The sequence below is a fragment of the Homo sapiens genome, chromosome 4 (genome assembly GCF_000001405.40).
Source record: "Homo sapiens chromosome 4, GRCh38.p14 Primary Assembly".
Taxonomy (NCBI): domain Eukaryota; kingdom Metazoa; phylum Chordata; class Mammalia; order Primates; family Hominidae; genus Homo; species Homo sapiens.
In genome coordinates, this window is record NC_000004.12 from 101,801,735 (window position 1) to 101,828,434 (window position 26,700).

Below are 26,700 nucleotides of genomic sequence, written 5' to 3' on the forward strand. Positions count from 1 at the left end.
TGCTTTTTGTCTTAAAAACTTATAAGACCACATTACATATTTAAAATGTAAACTTTGTCTTATGCATCACAAATATTTTTCTTTTATCACTTATTTGTTAAATAATTTTGATTGTAATATTTGCTGCTGTTGAACACTTTTTAACACTCATTGTGTCAAATATACTTTTCTTTCATAGCTTCTGTTTCTTGTCTTGGCTGAAGACACCAGTGCGTTCCTCTTGAAGTCCAGCCACCTGCCTGCTAGGGTCTAAGGGTCTTTTATAGGCACAGGATGGGGGCGTGGCAAGCCAGGGTGGTCTTGGAAAATGCAATATTTGGGCAGGAAAACAAAAATGCCTGTCCTTACTTAGGTCTGTGGGCATAGGCCCGGGGATAGAGCCCTAGCCAGGGACCACACCCTCCTCTACCCAGTACTTCCCTTCCCACTTTCAGTATCATTTAAAGGACCACGCCCTTCCCAGTACTTCCCTTCTGTATCAGTGTCTTAATGATTTTTGTGATGAAGGCATTTCTAACATCATCATACAGGTAAAAGAGTAATAGTTGATATAGTTCTATGAATAAAGCTTTAGTGACATAATCAGAATTGCCTAATTGATGCCTGAAGTAATTTATTCCCTACAGGTTATAAATATATACAATGTCTCACCTAGATCTGTGAAGGTCAACAGAATAGTAGAAAGCTTCCATTAAGCAAATTTCTATTTCTGAGCAACATATGGGTAATTAGGAAGCATTTATAATTATGGAAAGAAAACGGGCTGCTTTTTTATATATCTTTTATGAGGACTAGTCTGCTAAGAAGTTAGCAATTAGCACACATTACATTTCTGCTTTCACTAAGGATGTATTTTGTGTTTGTATGTAGTAATGACCTCTTAGAGTCATATTCTGATCTGTTGCAGAAATGATCTAATGGCTGCTTTACTTAGTGGTTGTAGGACCGTATGTAACTTCATTATAAGACCTCTCTATACCTCACGTTTTTTTCTTTTGGAAAAGATGAAAAAACAAATAGTATACTTGGAATAAAATTGGTGCTCTGTAATTGACAGTTATGGCTGTTGCTGGGTGAGTAGGTGAGTTACCATGTGGGACATTACGAAAGTTGACTTGTACTTTTGTTACCTGATAGTCAATTCCTGAAATATGTGGACACAGACTTCCATGGCTTTATTCCTTTAGTACTCTGTTGCCCAAACCGTGTTCTGTAGCATATACTGTGTGTTCTTTGGAAAAAAAATTTCTGTGGTGAAATGTTCTGAATATGCATATTAGGATATTTAAATGTGTGAGAGATTCTGCAACAATGTCTCTTCAATTTCCTCTAAGACATTGTTTCACAAATATTTATTTAACTATGGGATGCATTGTTGTCTCAACATTGATAGAGAAATAAGTTCTTTTGAACAAATTTGTCATCTCTATTAAATGGCAACTAGTTCTTGAGAGAATGATTGTTTCAGGCAGAAATTGGTAGTACTGCTTTCAGTTATATTTTCTTTAGTGTTATGCATGCCATAGTGTAAATAAAGTTATGATCCAGTCTTGGTGGCCATATTTTCATTGAGTGAGAGGGAGGGAATTAACAGGAACAGAAAATTAAGGGGCTATAGTATAGGGAAATTGGCATTGGTAGGCTGAGTAGTGGGGCACACACAATTTTTCTATTTCTTAAATTCCTTTAGATTAATTCCAGCTATTTAGTTGGGGTAAGTTAGGGTTGTGCTAGCGAAAATGAGAGGAAAATGAGAAAGTGGTTATCTATTAGGGAAAGTAAAGTGTGTGTGAATGAAATAGAAGTAGGAAAGCACACAGAGAATTGTAAATACAGTTGACTCTTGAAAACACAGATTTGAACTTCATGGGTCTACTTATATGTGGATTTTTTTCAATAAATATATTGGAAATTTTTTGGATATTTGCAACAATTTGAAAAAACTTGCTGATGAACTGGGTAGCCTAGAAATATATAAAAAGGCCGGGCGCGGTGGCTCACGCCTGTAATCCCAGCACTTTGGGAGGCCGAGGCGGGCGGATCACGAGGTCAGGAGATCGAGACCATCCCGGCTAAAACGGTGAAACCCCGTCTCTACTAAAAATACAAAAAAATTAGCCGGGCGTAGTGGCGGGCGCCTGTAGTCCCAGCTACTTGGGAGGCTGAGGCAGGAGAATGGCGTGAACCCGGGAAGCGGAGCTTGCAGTGAGCCGAGATCCCGCCACTGCACTCCAGCCTGGGCGACAGAGCGAGACTCCGTCTCAAAAAAAAAAAAAAAAAAAAAAAAAAAAGAAATATATAAAAAAAAGAAAAAATTAGACATGTCATGAATGCATAAAATTATGTCGATACTAGTCTGTTTTATTATTTACTACCTTAAAATACATACAAATCTGAAAAAGCTAACATTTATCAAAACATAGTCACAAAAATACAGACCATACATGTTGTTATTCACATTTAAGAAGAATGTAGACAACTATAAAGATGCAGTATTAAATCATAACTGCATAAAATTAACTGTAGTAAATACTGTCCTGCTGTAATAATTTTGTGGCCACCTCCTGTTGCTACTGCAGTGAGATCAAGTGTTGGGAGTATCTGCTAAAATGGTGTATGATGACAGTCATCTCTGAGTGAGTAGTTTGTCTGTCTAGGAAATTACATATTACAGTACAAAGAGATGTCTCATGGTTCTTGTATGTTCTTCATCTTGTAAACCTTGAATAATGCCATGGGACTCATGGGAAGTACCACTAGTGATGCTGGTAGTACTCCCAAGAAGAAGAGAAAAGTCATGACATTACAAGCAAAAGGTGATTTGCTTGATACATACTGTAGATTGAGGTCTGCAGCTGCAGTTGCCCACCATTTCAAATGGTGGGCAATTCATCCTGTAAACAGATGATGTAAACTTACAGTATTGATAAATACAGTACAGTATTGTAAATGTGTTTTATCTTCCTTATGATTTTCTTAATAACACTTTCTTTTCTCTAGCTTACTTTATTGTAAGAATATAGTATATCAGACATATAAGATACAAAGTATGTGTTGATAAATCGTTTATGTTATTGGTAAAGCTTCTAGTCAGCAGTAGTTGAGTTTTTGAGGAATCAAAGTTATATGGGGATTTTCAACTGCTCAGGGGTCATTGTCCCAACCCCTGCATCGTTCAAGCATCAATTGTGTAAGAATATTTTGAATGTGTGTGTTTATGCAGTTAAATAGCATGTGTGCATCTCAACTAATCAAATTATTTTGAAGGTATTTCACATGTTAGACTATATAAATCTGCCACTATGTCAATAATCATGTGAACTATGTAAGTGACATCTCATTTAAATATTGGGATTTCATACATCAAAATGTTCTAAAATTAAGAACTATTTGACTGCAGTGGCTATAAACAGATTTTTTTCATGTTAGAAATGTTTGTCAATGAAACATATTTAAAGCAAACATATGGGCTGTTAAGAGTCATCTAAGCAAATTATTGTTGAAATATTTTTCTATCTAAAATGACATTAACTTACATAAATGCAAGTAATTTAGACAAGAATGAATTTTATGTCTTTGAGGTTAACTAACTTAACAGGACATATAGAAAACAACATTAATATGACAGTAGCTTTAGTACTCAGGTGGGATGCTCTTTAAAGAAAAGGGTAACCTCTGGCATCAGTTCAGTAGACATAAGCATGTTAATAGATGCTGGCTGACTAGTTAGTACCAAGAGTGACATTAGAGTAGCTAATTAAGTATCTGAAAAAGGACAAATAAAGCTGTAGCCGTTTCTGAATGCCACATGAACAGCCTCAGATAAATAAATAATAAATATACAAATATTTATTATTTGTATAATAATACATTATATACATTATGTATTATATACATATAAATAATATACAAATAAGTTTGTATATTATTTATATGTACAGCCTCAGATAAATATACAAATAAAGTCGTAGCCATTTCTGAATGCCACATGAACAGCCTCAGAGTTCTTATGTCCAATCTTAAACTAACACCCTGGTTTTGGCAATCTTTTTCAAACTCTTTGGTTTGTGGAAGAGCTTCATTTGATTATGAAAAAAAATCTTTAAAATTCATGAAGCCTTTTACACAAAGATAATCTTAAGGTATTTTCCAATATGAAATTAACTTTTAATCTGATAACAAGTAGTATATTTTGGCTAAGATTCCTACAGCCTTTTAATATAACTTTGAATATTTAGTGAACTATAATATCTTCTAGGGCAAGTAGAGAGAAAAAGTGTGATTAGGGTCTAAAAGCAAATAAAACTTAATATCCTCTATGTGTGCCTAGAATATTAATATATTTTCTTTTATTTTTCTTTTTCTAAAATAATACATGAACATAATTGAAAATATGTAATAAAAACAAAAAACTGGAAAAAACTGTCATATATGTACTTCTAGGTTTTTTATACATTACTTTTATTAGTTTTACTTGTTCAGTTTTGTAGCTTTAATATATTTAATATTTGTACATGCTTTAATGTTACATTTTCATGGCTATTTGGTGAGGTGTCATTTTTCAATATTTTAGTTTTGCTCTCGCTCCATATAAATCTATTATACAATGTTTAAAAAAAAATAAAAAATTAAGATCCTTGATGACTTATTGAATAATAGGATAGATCATCCTCCATATAAGACGACTATTAATTAATCTACAGAAAGACTGAGTAGTTCTTAATAACATAGAAATACGTTGCACTGGATTTGAAGTTGAATAAGTACAGGATGAAGCCTTGGCTCTGTCACTAACAGAACTTCACTTTTTGCCAGCTATGCAACCTCTCTGATGCCTAGGAGAGGCAATATTATGTATATTGATACTCACATTAATTATCCATGAGAATACTTGGTTCATAATACATGGTGCATAATAGTAATGCAATTAATATCTCTGATCTGAACAAAAACACTGCAGAGATGAAAATAGCTTTTGCTCAGCACTTGGAATTTAGTATATTCATTGAGAAAGAGTAGACTAAAGGCCCCATAATCTTATGCAGGGATAATTATCCATCATTCATTTATTCTTCAACCATTTATTCTTGTACTCCTGTGCTCAATTCAGGGGATACACAAAAGGTGGCTACTCCCATCAGGGACTGTATTTAAGTGAAATAGGAATAGAACAAGTTGAACAGCTCTATTTCATTTTATCTTTACCCTAACCCAATATCAGATGACTCAAATACCCTAAGTTCACAAAAGTCTGAATAATTCAGCCATGAGAACTAGTTAGCAAGGAGAAGCAACAGCTAAGAGTGTTTTCTTTAGCAACCGGGGGTGACTACTGATGCATAACTGCTGTTCCAGAAAATCACCAGTCATTTCAGAAGGCAGTCATGAGTACAGTCCCCTGGGACAGTGCTTTGCAAATTTCAGTTATTCTCATAAGACCTTCCTCAATTTTTGTTATTCTACCTGTCCTCTTGTACAAGAAAAATTTTTCTTAGACTGACTTTCTTTTTTAGCTTAAATGTCAGATATTTTAAAGGAGCACTTTATATCACTGCCGTAGATAAGAAAATCACTACTGCCATAAGTAGAAGGTAAACATACAAACATACAGATTGAAAATAAAATGGTTGAAAAAATTATAGCTAAGGACAGGCTCTGGGCATAAAGTTCACTCTCTTTGATAGTGTTGGAATTCATGAGGAACCAGAGCTCCAAACCGAGACATTGTCCTGGAAGTCATCAGGATTGGATAAGTATTCTAAAAAGAAACTGACTTTCTCCCTCTGTGACTGCCTGCCACTATGTCTCCTGGAGATTGGATCCCTTCCACTGTTCTCCAAAAGGAGGTTTCACTTTCCAGAAAGTTGAAACAAAGTTTTGTTAGCAGCAGGTGTCAGGCACTATGATAAATGCTCTACATGCTTTATCTTCCTTAATTCTCACACTGATTCCATAGGTGGTGTTATCCACGTGTTACAAGCAGGAAATCTAGGCACAACAAGGTTCATTATTTGCTTCAGGCCATATAGTTAGTCAGTGATAGACCTGGATTTTTAAAATTCAGGGCCGGGCGTGGTGGCTCACGCCTGTAATCCCAGCAGTTTGGGAGACTGAGGTGGGTGGATCACCTGAGGTCAGGAGTTCAAGACCAGCCTGGCCAACATGGTGAAACCCCGTCTCTACTAAAAATAAAAAAAAAAATTAGCTGGCTGTGGTGGCGCACACCTGTAGTCCCAGCTACTCGGGAGAGTGAGGCAGGAGAATCGCTTGAACCCGGGATGTGGAGGTTGCAGTGAGTGGAGATCACACGCCACTGCACTCCAGCCGGGGTGACAGAGCAAGACTCTCAAAAAAAAAAAAAAGAAATGAAATTTAAAAAAATAAAAAATAAAATCCAAGACAGCCTGACTTGAAAGCCTGGCCTCTTAACCACTATATGTTTATCTGAAATAAACTTATTTAATTCTCTTGCAAATATATATTTGTGCTCATACCAGAAAGGTTTTCCTCCCGTGTAGACATTTCTGTTTTTTAGATAAATAAGGTTCTAGTTTTTTAATAGAAAAATATGTAATATAAAATATTGATATTGTCACCTACTAATAGATCAACATAGAGACATTCTTTCCAAGGGATAGAACAGAGAAGCACAATTTCCAGTTGATAAAAGTAAAAATTTATAGAGTTTTGCTACTTTCAAGGTCCTTGGAGGTGAACAGGAAGCAAAATATCTACAATGTAAGCTAGAAAAATTGTGTCTTTAATGATCACCATTAGGTTATTTAAAAATCATCAAAGCTGTAATACAGTTGTGATTAATCACTAGAGTAAACAAACAATCCACAGCGTGGGAGAAAATATTTGCAAACTATGCGTCTGACAAAGGACTAATATCCAGAATGCACAAGGAACTCAAATCAGCAAGAAAAAAAAAAATCCCATCAAAAAGGGGGCAAAGGACATGAATAGACAGTTACCAAAAGAAGATATATAAATAGCCAACAAACATATGAAAAATGCTCAACATCACTAATTATCAGGGAAATGCAAATTAAAACCACAATGAGATACCACCTTATTCCTTCAAGAATGGCCATAATTAAAAAGTTAAAAAAATAGATGTTGGAGTCCATGTGAAAAGTGAACACTTTTACACTGGTAGTGGGAATGTAAACTAGTATAACCACTATGGAAAACAGTATGGAGAGTCCTTAAAGAACTAAAAGTAGATCTACCATTTGATCCAGCAATCCCACTACTGGGTATCTACCCAAAGGAAAAGAAGTCATTATATGAAAAAGACACATGGACACATCTGTTTATAGCAGCACAATTTGCAATTGCAAAAATAGGTAACCAACATAAATGCCCATCAATCAATGAGTGGGTAAAGAAAACTGGTATATATACACCATGGAATACTGCTTGCTCATAAAACAGAATGAAATAATGGCCTTTCCAGCAAACTCGATGGAGCTGGAGGCCATTATTCTAAGTGAAGTAACTCGGGAATGGAAAAACAAATATTGTTTGTTCTCAGTTATAAATGGGGGCTAAGCTATGAGGATGCAAAGGCATAAGAATGATATGATGGACTTTGGCAACTCGGGCAGAAGGGTTGGAGGGGGATGAGGGATAAAAGACTACATATTAGGTACAGTGTACACTGCTTAGGTGATGGATGCACCAAAACCACTAAAGAACTTCTCCATGTAACCAAAAACTACCTGTTCCCCCCAAAACTACTGAAATAAATATATATAAAAAATAAAAAATAGTGGATACTGTTACAAATACATATTATAAAATGCCAGTAATAAAGAGTACTTTAAAAATGGAAAGATAATAATTTGCATTTCCCTAATGCTTCGCATTCTCAAAGGAACTTTCAAGCTCCCACTAATTGACTCCTAGAAAATTTTTCTAATGTGTTATTTGCTTTGACTCATGGAGAAATCTAAACAATGATCATATAAGCCACTTAATCAGGGCTATGCTACAAATACTGTGTGAAGTGAAGCAGAAAGTATACTGCACATATATCCATTTTACTTCAAAAGGCTTTAGGAAAGGAAGAGAAGGAACTATAGCTGAAAGCAGTGTTCGGATGGTGTGGTAGACAGAACAATGGTACCTCAAAAGTGTCTGTGTCCTAAGCCCCAGACCTGTGAATATGTTATGTTTTATGGCAGAGAAGAATTAAGGTTGCAGATAGAATTAAGATTGCTAATCAGCTGACTTTGAGATAGGGAGATTATCATGGATTGTCCAGTTGGGCCCAATATAATCACAATGATCCTAAGAGTGAAAAGGGAGGCAGAAGAGTGAGCACCAGAGAAATGGCAGCATGAGAAGGACTTGGCCCAGTATCACTGGCTTGAAGCTGGAGGAATGGGACCATTGGTCAAGAACTGTGGGTAGCCTTCAGAAGCTGAAAAATGCAAGTAAATATATTGATTCCTAAGGCCTATAGAAATAATGTAGCCCTGCAAATATCTGGATTATTGTCAAGTTGAGACCCATTTCAAACTCCTAACTTTCAGAACTGTAAGATAATAGCTTGTGTTGCTTTAAACCCACTAAATTTGTGATTAATTTTTTTACAGGAGCATTAGGAAACATACAGATATCTAAACACATGTGGGCTATGCAAAAGCAAGAGTACCATAAATACTGCAGATAGGACCTTCCGCATCAGGCATTTATACACCATCAGTCTAGTTAAAAAGAAAAATAGATGTAACCATGAAGAAATAAGCTTTTATAAAGTGTGAAGAACATATCAATGTTACCCTTAGGTAGTCATCTTTGGCAAGATATATATTTATACATTATTGGAACATCTTTCAGGAATTCACTGTTATATTTTATTGACCAAACAAAATAAATAAGAATGTCCCATTATTGTTTATTTACAATCAGTGGTTTTATCAATTTAATTATTCTCATCAATAATACTGTTGGCTACTGCTGCTGTTATAATTCTTACTAGTACAAATATGTATTTATTTTATCAGTGGTTCATTTTCCACAAGTGCCAAAGGGGATACAAAGAGCACAGGATTGCTATGAAGTTAAAGTAAATTAATGCTTATAAAGCATCAGAACATTCATTAGCATATATTAGGCATTTACTGCATTTTGGTAGCCTTTATTATAGGTATCATGATCATTATCATCATTATTACTGCTGTACGTATCAATGATTGCTGGTCACCAGGTCTTAAACCAGGCATGCGGGCTTCATATTTTATCTCTACGAATGAGGGATCAGTATCTCCATTTCTTCAGCTCAAGCAACTGAAGCTCAGAGTATAGGAAGTCACCTAACTAAAATTAAAGAGCTTTTAAATGACAGGGTCAGGACTGTTCCTGAAATGTTTTGTGAAACTTCTATGAGTCTTTGTGCTAGCTGCTGTGTGCTTCCATTAAATAAGGCCCCATTCCAACCCAAGCCCCCAAACAAAATTTCTAAGACAGACAACTTGTTAGATGTACAAGTATTATTCTAATCTTTTTAAAAGGTCAGCAATATTATTTTATGGTCTCACTTTATTTTAATATCTTAGAACATGAACCATTTTTAACCCTGGTAGGGAATTTTTTTGAGACCATTTTCTCCTAGTGGTAAAATTTCAGTTGGGATAGGATCATATGGAACCATAAGGCATAATTTAAAAGCTACTCTCTTATAAAAATAATGTTTACACATTCTAGAATATTTGAGGAATAAAAAATGTAAGAATAATATTATAATATACTGCAGCCCTCCACTCAGAAATATTGATAATATTTGTCTTGAATTGTATTAGTTTTTGTGTATATACATAAAGAAGCTCATATTGTGTTTATGGTTTTGTAATTCTCAATATTGTGTACCCATTCATTCATGATACATTTTAAAAATGCCAAACCGTGAAAAATCAGGGCCATTTGTCAAACAGGGACATTTTATAAAATTCAGATCTTTTTGATTTGTAAATTTTTCAGTTCTGCACTTTGTGATACTTAAAGATTTATTGACACTTTCCTTCCAAGACAATACTTTTACATGAACCCTGGGATAAATAAGATAAGAAGATTCCTTCACCACAGGTCTTAATGAGATATTAGAATAAACTACTTTGTGTTAAAGTAATTTATAGAAGTCCATTTCCTTTTTATAATATGCAAGTTTTTTTAAGGGCAGGAATTGGGCTTTATAATCTTTTATCTCTTAAAGTCTGAAAAATTGTTCTTTATAATAATCATTAAATAACTATTACATAAACATATAAACAAAAGTTTAAGTGATTAGAGAATTAATATTGAGGTTTTTTATCAACATTATAATACTTATGAATGATTATGGTAAGTTATCTTGTTGAATTTTAAAATACCTGGTCTGAAAATTCCAGTGATGTGTGAGAACTAAAAAATGTTAAGGTAATGAAGATTAGAGTCATAGATGGGTAAAGAAGATTATTCTGTGAAATATAACTGGAATTAGTAAGAAGTTCCAAAGAATAAACTGTATCTTTAATTATATATATTTTTAAGTGTCTGTTGCTGATTTTCAACTTTGATTACAATTATAAAGTACATTAACATAAAGGAATATCTTCAAGTTCAAGTGGTGAAATGTTAAAATAATAGTATCTTATTTTTACAAACTCAGATTAAAAAATCTAGGGAAACATTTAATATTTGGATTGCTATTTCTCTACACTATATTTAAAGGTAAATAATTAAGCAGTGAGATTCATTAAATAAAATGAATTACTAAAATTTAAGAATAAATGTAAAACGTTTATTTTTATATATTCTTGACATAGCTCTATCTTTAAGACATTTATATGATGTAGAGCTTCGGTTTTTGATGATACTATTCTATGCATTTTAATAGGAGAGAAGAAAATATAAATGATTGGAATATTTCTCCCTGGTTCTTCATATTCTAAAATCATTTTTTAGAGGTTCACATTTTTTATTAAAATTATGCCTAGATATTATTATATTGCATACTTCTAAGTGTCAAATATTAATCAAAGCAACCCCACCAGGAATTTCCAATGCTTCATTATTTCAGTTCAGAAAAGAGTTTGGTATTCAATCTTGTACAAAATGTTACCCAGGGACAAAAATAATTGAACATTAATTTTTTTAACTTTGGCTTTTGTAAACAGGTTAGTGCCTAAATTCTGAACTGTGAATTTTCCTAATATGACACCTGGAATGTGGGAATTAATAATAGTAAAAAAGTAATCTTTGTTAAAGTTAGTATGAATTTAAATACTCTTTAAAAATTGCTTTTATTTAATCACATACTGTATTATAAACACCCCCCTGAATCACCATTGATATTATTTTTTATAGTTTTGGATAAACATCATATTTGTATTTATATACAATATTCACTTCAGAATTGCAATCTAAGTTTTAGATACATAATGTTAAATATTGTGTTCTTTGTCCGTAAATAGATGATTTGGCCCTCATCTAACAAAAATCACTTTGGTGAATTAAGGTAGATTTTGGGCAAGTTAATGATTTTAGTGAATTTAATAAGTCACATGTATTTGGTTCCTTAATAAATAACATTTGAGCTATTTCAATTTATTTTCCTCAAAGAAAAAATCCTAAAATATTTATTTTCTTTTTTCACATTAGCAAAACTTGAGAAATAAAAAAAATTGTGACTGTAATCATCTACTATGATACTGGAAATACTGTCAGTATAAAAAAGCCACTATGGTGATTCTCAAACTTGAGTGGACTTAAGAATTACCAAAGTGCTTAGTTACTTGATAATCCTTTCCTGAACCCCAATTCTGGAAATTCTGATTTGATCAAGTGCCCAAAAGTGGTTCTGATGGGTGTGCGTCCTTGACCGCATTATGTAAAGACAATGTCACTCTAGGAGAAATGTAGTCGTGACCAAGTGCTGCAGCAGAACTGAGGATTGTTTTAGAGTTACCTAGAATTTTTAGCCCTTGCTATCTTGTAAACTCCATGCAGAAGTTATGTTTACTGTGAACATAGGCCGCAGGAGGCCTTGGGGAGCTTCTGCGGGTGGTAGGAGACACACTTTGCTAGGTCTGCAATTTCCCTTCTGGCCAACAAGGGCTGCAGAGGATGCACACATCAGGAAGAGGGTGGGGGACTACTTGCTTGCTGGTTTTGCTTGCATCTGATGAGTAGAAATTCAGCCTATTCTTTGTTTTGGTATGTATATATCTTCTAGTATATAGCTATTTCTAAGATATTTTACCATTGATACGTATGATATAAATTTTGAGATGATATTTCTTTAGAGGGGTTTGCTAAAGTTATGTTTTAATCAGTTATGTTTCCAAAGTGTGACATCCCATGTAACTCTGTACATAAAAAAGCCCTTGAAAGATATTAGTGTCACTGTACACAAATACTTGCCAATGTAATTAATTGCAAGATCTCATTGCAGTTAGTTAGGAGTGTATTTATTACATCCCTAACTTACATGCTTTAGTAATACAGGCTAAAAAGCATTCATTTTACAGTTAAATCTGCCTAAAGCCCATGAAAAGTATTCAGGCAGGTAAAACAAATTTTAGATCTTTTAAGTACTCTGTTTGGGTCATTGCTCTCAAGTCATGATTATGCTTACTGTCTTTTTTCCACCACTGCCACCATCTTGTGTTCTGGAAAGAAGCTGTTGAATTAAGTAGAGAGAAAGAACAAGGAAACAAGGGAAATGCCAACAGAGTTTTCTTTTTCTCGGAACTAGGAAAGCAAAATTAGATTTGCTGGTGAAACTAAAGTTATTCTCTTTTTAATCTGATCAGCTGGTCATATGCTTTATCCGTTGAGAACCTCAAGAAACGGACTGGAGTTTTATTTCATTTTGTCAATAATACTGCCTGTGGTATGGTTTGATACTTGAAGTAGAGTTGGCAATAGATGATGTGAATTTAAGTCCAGCTTAATGACTTACTATTGGTGTGACCTTGGGCAAGTCTCTTAAACTTTCTAGCTGTGGCTTTAACGTTTTTGTTTAACATTTTTGTTTTTTCATTAACTTGAGTTAAAATTCTTTCCTTAAAACTGTAATACTAAGAATGGTATAAAAACACACCATAATATTCATGTGAATGTACTTTGTATATTATTACTATTGAATGGAATTCAGTGTACTTTGAAATGTGGCACATTTATTATATAATAGAATGTAAAGACACTTTTCAGCATAAGAGTTCAGGGACATGTATTGGGTATAGGGGTGAGGATTGAGCAATAAATAACCCTCTTCAATGTTTGAGTTGTTAAGCAGTATTAAGAAATATGACAAAGAATAAGGGAAGGGGGAAATCAAATATTGCCTTTGTTACTGATGAAGTTGATAATTGGCTCAAATGGCTTATATCTGTGAGAAAGTGGAGTTTATAATGTGAAATCCTAGAATTAGAGAGATATACCCACCCAGCCACAGGAGACCCCGGACCATAGGTCAGGAACTGTCAGAACATATGCCCTCATGCTACAGGAGCTTAACAAAACAATTACAGGTAAAATTGGGGGACTGACTACAAGCATATTCTGAATCCTGCCCCTCCAGGGTATTTGCCATCTTTTATATGGATGTAATAAAACTGGAAATATAAAAATTGAGGAGTAAGTAGAAACTACTACTAATTTATCACAAAATAAAATTGTAAGTATTGCACCTGGGATTTTTAAACATATGTCATTTTGAGGTCTGAGTACTATAATCTACATTTATTATTGGTTAAAATGTCAATTATTTCTTCAAGAAATAATTTTCACTTTTAAATTACACCAACATCCACTAAGTAATTTAAAGAAGATTCTATTTTCAAATCAGAGATGTACTGAAATTATTATTGATAGATATAATAGATTTGGATCAAGTTCTGACTTTATACATTTTTAGGTTTACAAAAGATATTTAAAAATTAATAGGTTTTAAAATGTATTTTAAATACTTTAAGTACTCTGTTAAGGAGTTGCCACCAGAGCTCTAGACATGTTTTTTTAAATCCAATTTTATGATTTTTACTAATTTTTGTCACACTCTTGTTTTTTATAGTCAAGAATATTAAGGTATAATCTACATAAATAAACTTCACTTTTAAAAGTGTACTTCTAAAGGATTTTTAGAAATTTATACACTTTACAAACTATTACAAGTATTTAAAATTAGTCCATTAGCATAATAATGTCTCTGTTCCATGTATTCAAAATATCTACCCTAACTACCCTAACTTTTATGTAATTATATGTTTTTTCCTTGAAATGAACTTTTATGTGTTTGTGGAAAGTGCTTTGCCAGAGGACAAGGAATTTCCAAGATGAGTTTTCTTACAACCATATAAAACCTATGAAACTTTGATCCTATTGCAGCCTCATCTGTAGCTCTAAAAGTTTTCAGTGGGCATTTGTTGATCACCGATGTGGTCAAAGGCTTGTTATGCAGGTATAATTGCTCGCAAAGGAAAACTGAGAAACATGAGTTCAAGTCTAATTTTCCTTTGTATGTCACAAAAGGCATAGGCTCATGTTTCCTAGCTATCTTTTCTTGTTTAGTAATTTAGTTTGTATATTTAATTCTGAAATGAAATGAACATGTCCTTTCCTATTTCTTCTTAGTTTGTTCAATGTAGTTCCATCCATAGCTCAAGCCATCTTTTCTCTAAATCAAAGTGGTCTCTCAAATATATTACATGAACTTCCATCAACTGGAAGAATTTCCTTTCACCATGAGTGGGGCTGTGATGTAGCAACCATTCACTTTGGACTGGTGCTGGCATATTTTTCAGAATGATCTGGAAACTAATGCCATGCTTCTTTTTTTTTTTTTTTCTGTTAACAGGTTTAGTAATTCCTCATGAGGTTACAGATGTATGTTGAGGGAGGAGTGGTAAAGCGGTAAGATTTGGTGTCACAGAAGCTTAAGCTACAGGCTCATGGCACTTACTTGTCCCATCCAGAATTGCCTGAGTCTGGTTTTGTATATATCATACTTTTTTCTAATGGAATATTATTTCTTACAACCAAATTATAATTTGCTAGATCACATAACACCCAGTTTATTAATGGCCAGTTAGACTACATAAACACTTGGTATAATATAAGCAGACATTAATCTCAGTCTGGATCCAATAATAACTCACAAGTTAATTTTCAAATAGAAAGGAGTCAACGGAAGAATAAGGAATGGTATTCCTCCAAAATCTCAGGGGTATGTGTTGTGGATCTCCTATTGAGAGTTGCCAGAAATTTAATAAAGCTTTGTTATAAAGCTCAAAGGACAGTGTAGTGTGCATTGCAGCCTGACTGTGTAGTAGAGCCCTTTTTTGCTCCTACTCAAAACTGGTATTGTTACTGGCTACCCGGTAAATGGGCCCAAATATGTTTGTTTCCTTCAAAATGCAAAGAGGCCCATCTAATGGTGAGATTCAATAATTTATATACCCAAAGGAGTGTAAATTGTTCTATTATAAAGACACATGCATATTTTATGTTCATCGCAGCATTATTCACAATAGTAAATTTATGAAATCAACCCAAATGCCCATCAATGATAGACTGGATAAAGAAAGTGTGGTACATGTACACCATGGAATTCTATGCAGCCATAAAAAGGAATGCGATTATGTCCTTTGCAGAGAAATGGATGGTGCTGAAGGCCATCATCCTTAGCAAACTAATGCATGAGCAGAAAACCAAATACCGAATGTTCTTACTTATAAGTGGGAGCTAAATGATGAGAAAACATGGACACATAGAGGTGAGCAACACACACCGGGCCTGTTGGAGGGTGAGGGGTGGGAGGAGGGAGAGGATCAGGAAGAATAACTAATGGATGCTGGGTGATTAATGCCTGGGTGATTGGATGATCTATGCAGCAAACCATCATGGCACACGTTTACCTATGTAACAAACCTGCACATCTCGCACACGTGCCCCTGAACTTAAAAGTTGGAAATAAAAAAAATTGTCTTTCGGTATACAGGGCTATCCTGATATGCCTTAAAGGAAGCTTGTGCAACCTGAGACCCAGGATGGCTTTGAATGTAGCCCAACATAGATTTGTAAACTTTCTTAAAACATTATGAGATTTTTTTTTTTTGCAATTTTTTTTTAGCTCATCAGCTGTCATTAGTGTATTTTATATGTGGCCCGAGACAATTCTTCTTCCAATGTGGTCCAGGGAAGTCAAAAGATTGGATACCCCTGCTATACCATTGGCTGTCTAGAAAGACGGATGATATTTCAGGTTCCTGAACTTCAATATGGTTTATCCTTCACACTCTGGCACAAATGTATCATATTATGACAACTAGAGCATTTGCTCTTTTGCTATGAGCAAGTTTATTTAATCAATTTTATATTTTACATATAAAATTATATACTGTATGGCATATAGATATGGTCAGTATTTATACAGATGTTATTATGACATGGGGCATAGCCTTGAGGTAAGTCAGGGAAAGGTTACTGCTGTTTCTACCAAGTGACTGCAAACTGATTATTATCTTTATTCATTGCAATTATAAAGAAAATAATGACTTGATCAATATCCGTTTATAGTTTACATAGGCTAGTTGATTTGCTCCAGTAAATATATCATCTGTGGAATAGCAGTTAATATGAATACCTGGTTATGTTTATGAAAATCAGCAGTTATTTTACAAGACCCTTTGGCTTTTGTACTGGCAAACTAGAGAGTAAAGCAGAGTTGTGAAGAAATAACCACCATTATATCTTCATCTCCCAAGTCTTTGTTGATGGCAATAATCTGTAATTCCTTCAGGAATGTAGTACAGTAGTCCCCCTTCTCTGTGGTTTTGCTTCCTGTGGTTTTAGTTATCCGTGGTCAGCCATGGTCCAAAAATAGTAATATATTTTGAAAGGAAGAGAAAGAGAAACCACATTTTCACATAACTTTTACTATAATATACTGTTACAGTTGTTCTATTTTATTAATAATTATTGTTGCTATGCTCCTACCGTGCCTACTTTATAAATTAAACTTTATCATAGACATACATTTATAGCAAAAAAGCTTAGTATATATAGAGTTCTATGCTATCTGTAGTTTCAGGGATCCGCTGGGGGTCTTGGAAGGTATTCTCCACGAATAAAGAAAGATTACTGTATTTTTTTTTTTTTTTTTTAGTTTACTGTGAGAATGGGATTCGACAGTTTCAGATACATATATTTTGCCTTTCCTACAATAATAGTCCTCATTCTCTGGTAGGATTCTGACATTTGCTATGTATATGCATTATCACCAAACATTTCTGGCATAAAAAATACCCACAGGATACCTCTGTGGTACTCACATGGGCCCACTGGAATCATTATCATATATATACTCAAGGCAAGATGTCATTTATTATTACACCTGACTTCTATAAATTCCCAAAAAATACCATGGTGGTATTTTCAGTCTTTGGGAATTTTTTATCAGTTAAGACTAGTAACTAATAATTGCTAGAAGATATTCCTGAGTATTCTGAGTATTATTTTTTCCCTAGTACACGTGCCTTTAGGTCACTCTGACAAAGGCTTGGAGGAAGATTTATGGTACCCATGCTTAGCAGCATAGAAAACCCCTTTTTCAAAGGGACCTGAGCTCCCCTCAGTCAAAGTCCTCTAAGTCTATAAATTAGGGTGCAGTCTATGAATTTCCATTATAGCAACTTAAGTAAGTTTTTGCACCCCAAACAAGAATTGTTTTGTTTATAAAGATGATATAGAACCTTCATAGGCTATACATTTCAGGTTTACATTACATTTGTAATCTGTATTACAAATATATACCCTATATATTTCATTCCTAAGGACCCTCAGATCAATTAGATACCACCACAATACCTGCAGTGAAAAACACTTTGATTATTTATATTGTCTCTAATGATTGAGTGTTACCATTTGTTCTCTACCAACTCAGACTTCATTATTCTCCATCGACATCAAAAGTTCAGTTCAAAGGTCTAAACCTAATCATTGTGTCTATGCTGCAGAAGACAGACATCACAGCACTTTTCATGAATACATTTCTTAATGCTAGCGAAGGGAACATCAGAACACTCTAGAGTAGAGGTCAGCAAATGATAGTCAGTAGACGAAATCCAGCTGGTGTCCTATTTGTGTATCATCTGTGAGCTAAGAATGGTTTTTACACATTTAAAGTTGTAGAAAAGAAGAGGAGAAGGATAAGGAGGAGAAGAAGGAGAAGGAGATTCCAAGAGTGCCACAAAGCCTAAAGTATTTACAGAAAGTTTGTCTACTGACTCCTGCTCTATGTCATAGCAGGGAAATTCTGGCATTGCAGCCTCATTGACTGTAGGCCACCATGGAATCCAAGCTTTAATTAACCATTCTAATAGGCTGTTAATACTACCACAGGTACTTGAGATAACACATTAAATCCTGAATGCTGTTAAAATACAACCATATTGATAAATTCAGTCAGATCCAATCTTCTGATTCATCTTTCTCAGTCTAATAACCCTTAAAATTCATTCCATACATACTTTCCAAACTCATGCTGATACATATTGGCAATATCCATGAACAATTTCTGAGTATTAAATCGTTTTTTGTGGAATTTTCTCCCTTCCCTTGTGGGATCTAACTCTAGTTACTGATTCAAGAGGCAACCAGTGAGGGATGTTGGCATCTGTACTAAGAAAAGTTGACATTACTTGTAAGGCAATTGCCTCAAGTGAAGTTTTTAAAAATGTTCCTTTTTTAAAAACTTTTATTTTAGTTTAGGGCCTACATGTGATGGTTTGTTACATAGGTAAACTCATGTCATGGGGGTCTGTTGTACAGATTATTTCATCACCCAGGAATTAAGGCCAGTACCCAATAGTTATCTTTTCTGCTCCTCTCCCTCCTCCCACCCTCCACCTTCAAGCATACCCCAGTGACTGTTGTTTCCTTTTTTGTGTTCATAAATTCTTATCATTTAGCTCCCACTTATAAGTGAGAACATGTGGTATTTGGTTTTCTGTTCCTGAATTAGTTTGCTGAGAATAATAGCCTCCAGCTTCATTCATGTTCCCACAAGACGTTATCTCATTCTTTTTTATGGGTGCATAGTATTCCATGGTGTGTATGTACCACATTCTTTTTATCCAATCTGTCATTGATGGGCTCTTAGGTTGATACCATGTCTTTGCTATTGTGAATTGTGCTGCAGTGAACATTCACGTGCATGTGTCTTTATGGTAGAATGATTTATATTCCTCTGGGTGGGTCGAATGCCATTACTGTCTTTAGGTCTTTGAGGAATTGCCATACTGCATTCCACAGTGGTTGAACTAATTTACATTCCCACCAACACTGTATAAGTTTTCCGTTTTCTCGACAGCCTCGCCAGCATCTGTTATTTTTTGACTTTTTATTAATAGCCCTTCTAACTGATGTGAGACGATATCTCATTGGGCTTTTGATTTTCATTTCTCTAATGATCAGTGATATTGAGGTTTTTTCCATATGATTGTTGGCCACATGTATGTCTTCTTTTGAAAAGTGTCTATTCATGTCCTTTGCCCACTTTTTAATGGAGTTGTTTGCTTTTTTCTCTTGGAAATGTGTTTAAGTTCCTTATAGGTGCTCGATATTTGACCTTTGTCAGATGCGTAGTTTGCAAAATTTTTCTCCCATTCTGTACGTTGTCTGTTCACTGTTGATACTTTCTTTTGCTGTTCAGAAACTCTTGTTTAATTAGATCCCATTTGTCAATTTTCACTTTTGTTGCGATTGCTTTTGGTGTCTTTGTCATGAAGTCTTTGCCCATTTCTATGTCTAGGATGGTATTGCCTAGGTTGTCTTCCAGGGTTTTTGTAGTTTTGGGTTTTGCATTTAAGTCTTTAATCCATCATGAGCTGATTTTTGTATATGGTATATGTTTGGTTTGGGTTTTTTTGTTTGTTTGTTTGTTTGCTTGATTTTTTGAATCGAGGAGGGATAGTGAAGCATTCAAACTAACAACAAAAATTCTTTACTACACTAGTGAGATAAGGGAAAGGAAGATGGTTATTGGAATTGCATGAAAACTGGACCCATGAAAGAAAAGTCGTAGAAAAATGGCCATACAGGAAAGCAGCCACTGTCCAAACTAAAATGGAGGAGTGGGTGGAGGGCCAATAAAAAACCCTATCATTCTTTCTTCTCATCTGATATTCTGATGGTGCTTTCAATCAAGGTAGGCATGGGAGCCTAGGTGATGTAATCCATAAGGGCCATCCTCCGGGAAAGAAATCAGTCTGGGGGGAATCATAGAAAATAATAAGATTCTGAGGAGATCATTCTTGATGTTGAATTGGAGAAATGAGAAGCACTTGGCAAGGCGTGGTGGCTCATGCCTGTAATCCTAGCACTTTGGGAGGCCTAGGTGGGTGGATCACTTGAGCCCAGCAGTTTGAGACCAGTCTGGTCAACATGGGGAAACCCTGTCTCTACCATTAAAAAAATACAAAAAATACAAAAAATTAACTTGGCATGGTGGTGCATACCTGTGGTCCCAGCTACTCGGGAGGCTGAGATGGGACGATCGCTTAAGCCTGGGAGGCGGAGGTTGAACTGAGCCCCAAGATCACGCCACTGCACTCCAGCCTTAGTGAGACCTCAGAAAAAAAGAAAAAAAAAAGGCACTTAAGAGACTGTATGAGATAGTAATGTTACTGATTCTGACAATTTATTTTATTATTCAAATTCTCTAAAGTTACCATATTTCATTGATTCTGACAATTTATTATTCAAATGCTCTAAAGTTAAAATTTATCTTTAAATTTGTAGTACATTATAGTTTTTTGATCACAGCATTCTCTTCTTAAAGAAACAAAATAATGGGTGGTCTTATGGTCAGTGTTGTCTTGGAATCAATACTTTTTTTTTTTTTTTTGAGACAGAGTCTCGCTCTGTTGCCCAGGCTGGAGTGCGGTGGTGCAATCTCCCTTCACTTCAAGCTCCACCTCCCAAGTTCATGTCATTCTCCTGCCTCAGCCTCCCGAGTAGCTGGGACTACAGGTGTCCGCCACCACGCCCCACTAATTTTTTGTATTTTTAGTAGAGGCGGGGTTTCGCCACGTTAGCCAGGCTGGTCTCAATCTCCTGACCTCGTGATCCGCCCGCCTCGGCCTCCCAGAGTGCTGGGATTACACATATGAGCCACCGCGTCTGGCCACCACATTTTCTTTATCCAGCCTATCATTGATGGTATTTAGGTTGATTGCATGTCTTTGCTATTGTGAATTGTGCTGCAGTGAACATTTATGTGCATGTGTCTTTATGGTTGTCTTTGTACTCTGTTGATAGTTTATTTTGCAGTGCAGAAGCTGTTTAGTTTAATTAGACCCTATTTGTCATTTTTTGTATTTGCTGCAATTGCTTCCTAAAACCCATTTCTAACACAATACCTTTCCCAAATCATCATTCACATTTTTTCTTCCCTTAATACAAATTATTGGTAAACTTGGAAAGGTGCAAGATGTTCTCAACCATGATATCTATGACTTGATAAAAAATATATTTTCAAAAAATTTTCTTTTAATTCCCATTCCAATGTATATAAATCATGTAGACAATATAGAGACTTAAGAAATAATCACGTATTTTATGAATATATATACTTACCTTTGTATACCTTATTATTGTGGTAATATTTTGAGAAACTTTTGAGTATGGCCTTCCTGCTCTCAGATGTAGACAGTCTTACTGGTAAGATCTAATATTTCCTGACTCCTATTGGCCATGCGTGTGATAAGCACATTGTATGAATTTTTTCAGTTGGTACTTTCAACAACCCTATTTAGGTACTTGTGTTTTATTCAATTTTATGAATGGGCCAACTAGACATAAAAAGTGATTAGAGGTGGGATTAGAACATTTTCAGTTTATATATCCAGGGTTAGGAAGACTTCACAAAATAATACTGTAACAATTAATGCCAAGCTTTTTTATATAGAAAAAAATCCCTTCCATGGTTGCTCTATGAGACATAAAAGTATCTGTTTGCATCTTAAAAGAAGAAAGTGGAAAATTCTGAATTTGCATAAAAATTTTTGCTGGTTGTTCTTCACCATAGCTGAAAAGCATAATCTTAAAATTATGTGTTGGTACCTTCCTGCATTTGAAAGAAAGAACTAAGTTAAATAATGTATATGCATAGAAGAGTCCTGTAGAAGATTTGTAAAAATGGACTTGAGTACAGGTATTTGATCATGAGCCCATGAAGCTCTAGTGAGGAAATGGAGAAAGATAAGAAAGGGAGAAAAGACAATGTGTGTATTAATAAGTAGAATAACACAGCGAGGAGTTACAATTCAATACCATTGGGACTCTCTGGTTACTGTGTAGAACAAACCTCAGAATTGCCCCATTGCAGGTTGGATAAGCTGAGTTATTTACACATTTACTTCTGTTCCTCACTGCCTGAGGTTGTCTCCCTATTCTTGGTACACTAAATCCCTGGAGCTAATGAGCTGCTGGGCAGGTGCACAGACTGAGGAAGTACTCTTAGCACCAGCGAAAGTCCTCAGTCAGTAAAGCAGAGGTCAGAAGTGGTCAATAATAACTGACCACTAAGCAGTAGCTGGTGTCCAGGAAGATGTGGGATGTACATCCACAGCATCCACTACACAGATATATACAGATTATACAGGAAACACTTCATATATGAATGTCCCACTATGAATAAGTGGAATTAGCCACTTTCCCAGAGGAGAAATATGAGTTATGATGTTTCACTACATTCAAACCTTTGAAAAATCCCCAGTTTTGTTCTCATGTTGTACTAGAAATAACAGTACAAAGTTGGAATGTAAACTCAATTGAGTTATACTTACTGTGTAATGTAAGTAATGATATATGTGTGTGTGATTATATTAAGATTAATGTTCTTGTTGTTATTGCTGAATCCATTATGGCTGTAACTCATTTTTTTTTTTTTGTAATTTTTGGCTTTCTTTTCTTCTGCCTTTTGGTTACCAGTTAGAAAAATGTAATACTGGAAGGATGCATTATGCAATCTTTTTCCATTATGCACAATCAAAACATGGGTATGAGATTGGATTTTATTCAAAAAGAAGAAAATCTGCCATTTGAAGCTGTGCATATGGAATAAGAAGAATTTTAATATATGTTTAGTCTCATTCTTTTGGTAATATGTAATGTAGTCTGGTTTTGGTGGAAAAGCAATTGTTGATATAAATTATTGATAAATATTTCTTTCAGGTTTAAACATTTGTTATAGTGTATTTAAGACAAATAAGGCATTATTGAATCTGAAAGAATATAGTAAATTTATAAAAATTAATATGGCTGTATTTTGTTCCTACAGAACCATTGTATAATGCTGTCACTTTATGATGCAAGACTGAAGATGTACATTTAAAATAATTTATTTGCAGATCTTGATTCCATCTTCAATAGTAATGTCTTTTTATTATGATGCAACTTTCCAGGAATGGAAATTTTATATTTCTGTGCTTCAAGTTTATCATTTATTGTTTCATTGCAAAGCCTATAATGACAGTAACCCTCCTTAAATGGGGAGAATTACTTAGGGTTGATTTAATTCAAATGTATAAAATGAAGTGCAGTTCAAGGCCACTGGGCTACTTTTGAGAATTTATCAAGAACTATTTTGGGGTCTGTGGTCCTAGATATTATTCAGTTACAAACTTCTATTTTCTAGAAAAAGGGAAAAGAAAACCATGGCTTATTAAAAGAGTTTTTATTAACTTTTATATTTCAACACAACTTAGCTTCATATGAAAAGAAAGAAAGTCAGCATAAAGATCAACAACTATCTTTGTGGCTCTGATAAGTAACTTAACCCCTCTGAGCCTCGATGAGAACATCAGTAAAATAAGACTAACAGGACCAACTTCCTGCAGTTTGGTGAGGATTAAATGAGGTAATACATGTCAACTGCTTAGCAACATGCCTGGTACATAGAAAGTCTCAGTAAATAATAATTGAGAAAACTAAAGATTAAAATACTGAAATGATTTCATCTGTAGAGAAGAAAGGAATGATATTTGATGTCAAATTCAGGTTTTTGAGAATTGTCATATGAGGTTATTGACAAAATATAAGTCAAATAAAAAGGCTCAATTTTCAACATAAGTAAAAATGCATCTAGAGTATTGAGAAAGACTACCTGTGTAATTTTCTTGGGCTTTGAAAGACAGGTTATGATTGTCTCTATTTTTGATTTCATATAGTTGTCTGCCAATTGTGATACCAAGCCAAATAACGTGGGAGTATTTATTCTTTACATTAACATCTACTCATAGCTTATTCTACAATTTTCTTGATTTAAATTATAGAGTCAAAAAGTCAATTCTGTAAATTCTTCATAGATTACTCTACTGTTAGAGTACATGATATGTTCTGTTTCCTCTTTCTCCTTGGTAGGAACCCAGACTCCCAGTAAGCCTTCACATACTGTGCATAGTTAAGACTACCCCATAGGCTGCTTGATATTGACTAATCTAACTCATATCCCTGCAAATAATCTACTGTAATCTTTTAAATAATATTATTGTGTCCTTTGCTGTTAGAAGTTAAAAGTATAGGGTATAGGGCAGACTGCCCGCATTGGAGTCCTGATTCTAATACCACTTCAGTTTTCCCATCTGTAAAATGAGGAAAACATTAGTACTTACTTAAGAGTGTAATTGTGAGAATTAAATGAAACAGCATGTGTGAAACACATAGAGACCTAATTTATTTTAAATGCTTGATAATTTTAATTATTATTAATTTTATTTATACTCCTACTATTTTTATAACTGTAGACCAGCTTATTCTGGCTATATGCAATATGAAGAAAACCCTCCTCCTACCGTTCCTCAAACATAAAAATACTGAATTATGGCATAATATTTCTGTTTGTTAAACAAGTTATTTAGCATCCAGGCTAGATGAGATACTACACTACTATACACAGAATAACAGAACTATATTGATGATTCATATACAACTTACGTGTGATTCCCATATGTTTTCTGCCAGATGTTTTTTTCTCATTCTACATACATAAATATGTAAAAAAAAGTTGTTGAATATCTGTTCAAGAAATTGTGCTTGGCATTGTGTAGGAATTTGGATTGAAAAATAAAGCATCTGCCCTCAGAGATAATATTTATATCACGAGAAAAGACAGAAATACATAAACCCAATAATTCAATAAAATACAAAAGCTCTCAGAATCATTATGGTTTTCTTCACCACATCAGTGGTGTAGAAAATACATGCTCTGTTTTCAGAGGAAGAAGATGACAAGAGTTTGGCGTTTCACTCTTTGTACTCATGATAATACTGTACAAACTGATCTTTAAAAATGATTATGTTTTGTAAAATAATATAAGTTTATTATAAAAATATAAGCAATATGGAAGAGTGAAGAAAAAGAAAGCCATATATCTCTCAAAGTCCTCTCTCTCACATAAACAATTGTTGCTAATGATAGAATTATTTTAGGTAGATAGGCATGGAGGTACTATTTTATTAAAAATGAGATTTGGGTTTACATGCTATCTTTAAATATAAAGTTAATTTAAAGTAAAACTAATGATATATTTTAAGATAAAAATTTCTTTGACTACTTTTTAGATTATTTATTATTGTTTAGGGAAAAATGATACAAAAAATATTGAATGAAGTCATTATTTTAAATTAATGTTTCAAATTTAGGCAGTGTTAAAGGATTAAATTCTATTAAAGATGAGGTTAGAATGTTTTACTTTCTCCTCCCCAAATGCTCAGTTTTTCCCACTGTGTAATCACTTTTATTTCATCAAGTTAAAATGTGCGTTTTGTAGTGCAATCATAATGCCCTCAGCATTTGGTTGTTGTTCTATATGTACGTGTATTCAACTCACCCTATTCTTTTTCCAAAGTTTTTTTAATTTCTGTTTACTTTACTTTGGTTCTGCTATTTTTTGGCTGGATTTTCCTCTATTATTTAAATTTTGATTACAGTTACACTTTCATATAAAACAATGATAAAACATAGTGAAAATCAACAGTTCTTCACTTTCCCTTTCCCCAAATACTATTCCACACTTCTAAGAACCTTAAAAGCCATAGTTTTTTCAAAGTTTCTTTTTTTATTCCTTTGCATATTTCAAAAAGATACATTTATATTATGATTTCTTGATTTACTAATTTTAGCTATTATCTATTGTCTTCCTATAAAACATAAGATAAGTATTTGTATACTTTTGTTAGTCTGACTCTTCTCTTATTCTCCAGGATATTTAAATCTCAACTTGTCATTAATTAATCAATTTTTATATTATTATAACTATAAACACATGCACACTATTGTTCCAAATAGTCTATAATTATCCTGCTTTCTTTCATAAATTTTGGGGCTTTTTTCCAGAATTAATATTTACTTCATTTTTGTTTTTTATGCAAAATATTGAAATGTACCTATCTTTAATTCTTTTTGTAAATGCCCTATTAGACCTGTCCAACCTCCATTATTAGCATATTTTCTCTAATTTTCAAATACATGTGATAATGTTACAAATGCTTTATTTATTTCCTATGTCTTTCCCTCCCCAAGTCATATAGCTTTTGCAGGTGTATTGCAGTATAACTTACAAACACAATCTAAGATATGTAGATGAGTGAATTTATATATATATATATATATATATATATCTCCATATATATCTACCACCTAGA

The 26,700-nt window shown here is 34.0% G+C and overlaps 1 protein-coding gene across 3 annotated transcripts in view; it reads left to right on the forward strand.

The window, feature by feature from the left end:
* The window catches only part of BANK1 (B cell scaffold protein with ankyrin repeats 1), a 284,083-nt gene that overhangs the window by 11,005 nt on the left and 246,378 nt on the right, over window positions 1-26,700 (forward strand). Inside the window, exon 1 of one of the 3 annotated variants that reach the window (NM_001083907.3) lies at window positions 12,108-12,204. The exons of the other annotated variants lie outside the window; for them this stretch is intronic. The gene's annotated coding sequence lies outside the window, so the exon portion shown is untranslated. Of the gene's footprint in view, window positions 1-12,107; window positions 12,205-26,700 lie in introns of those variants that run through there. 3 annotated transcript variants of the gene reach the window in all.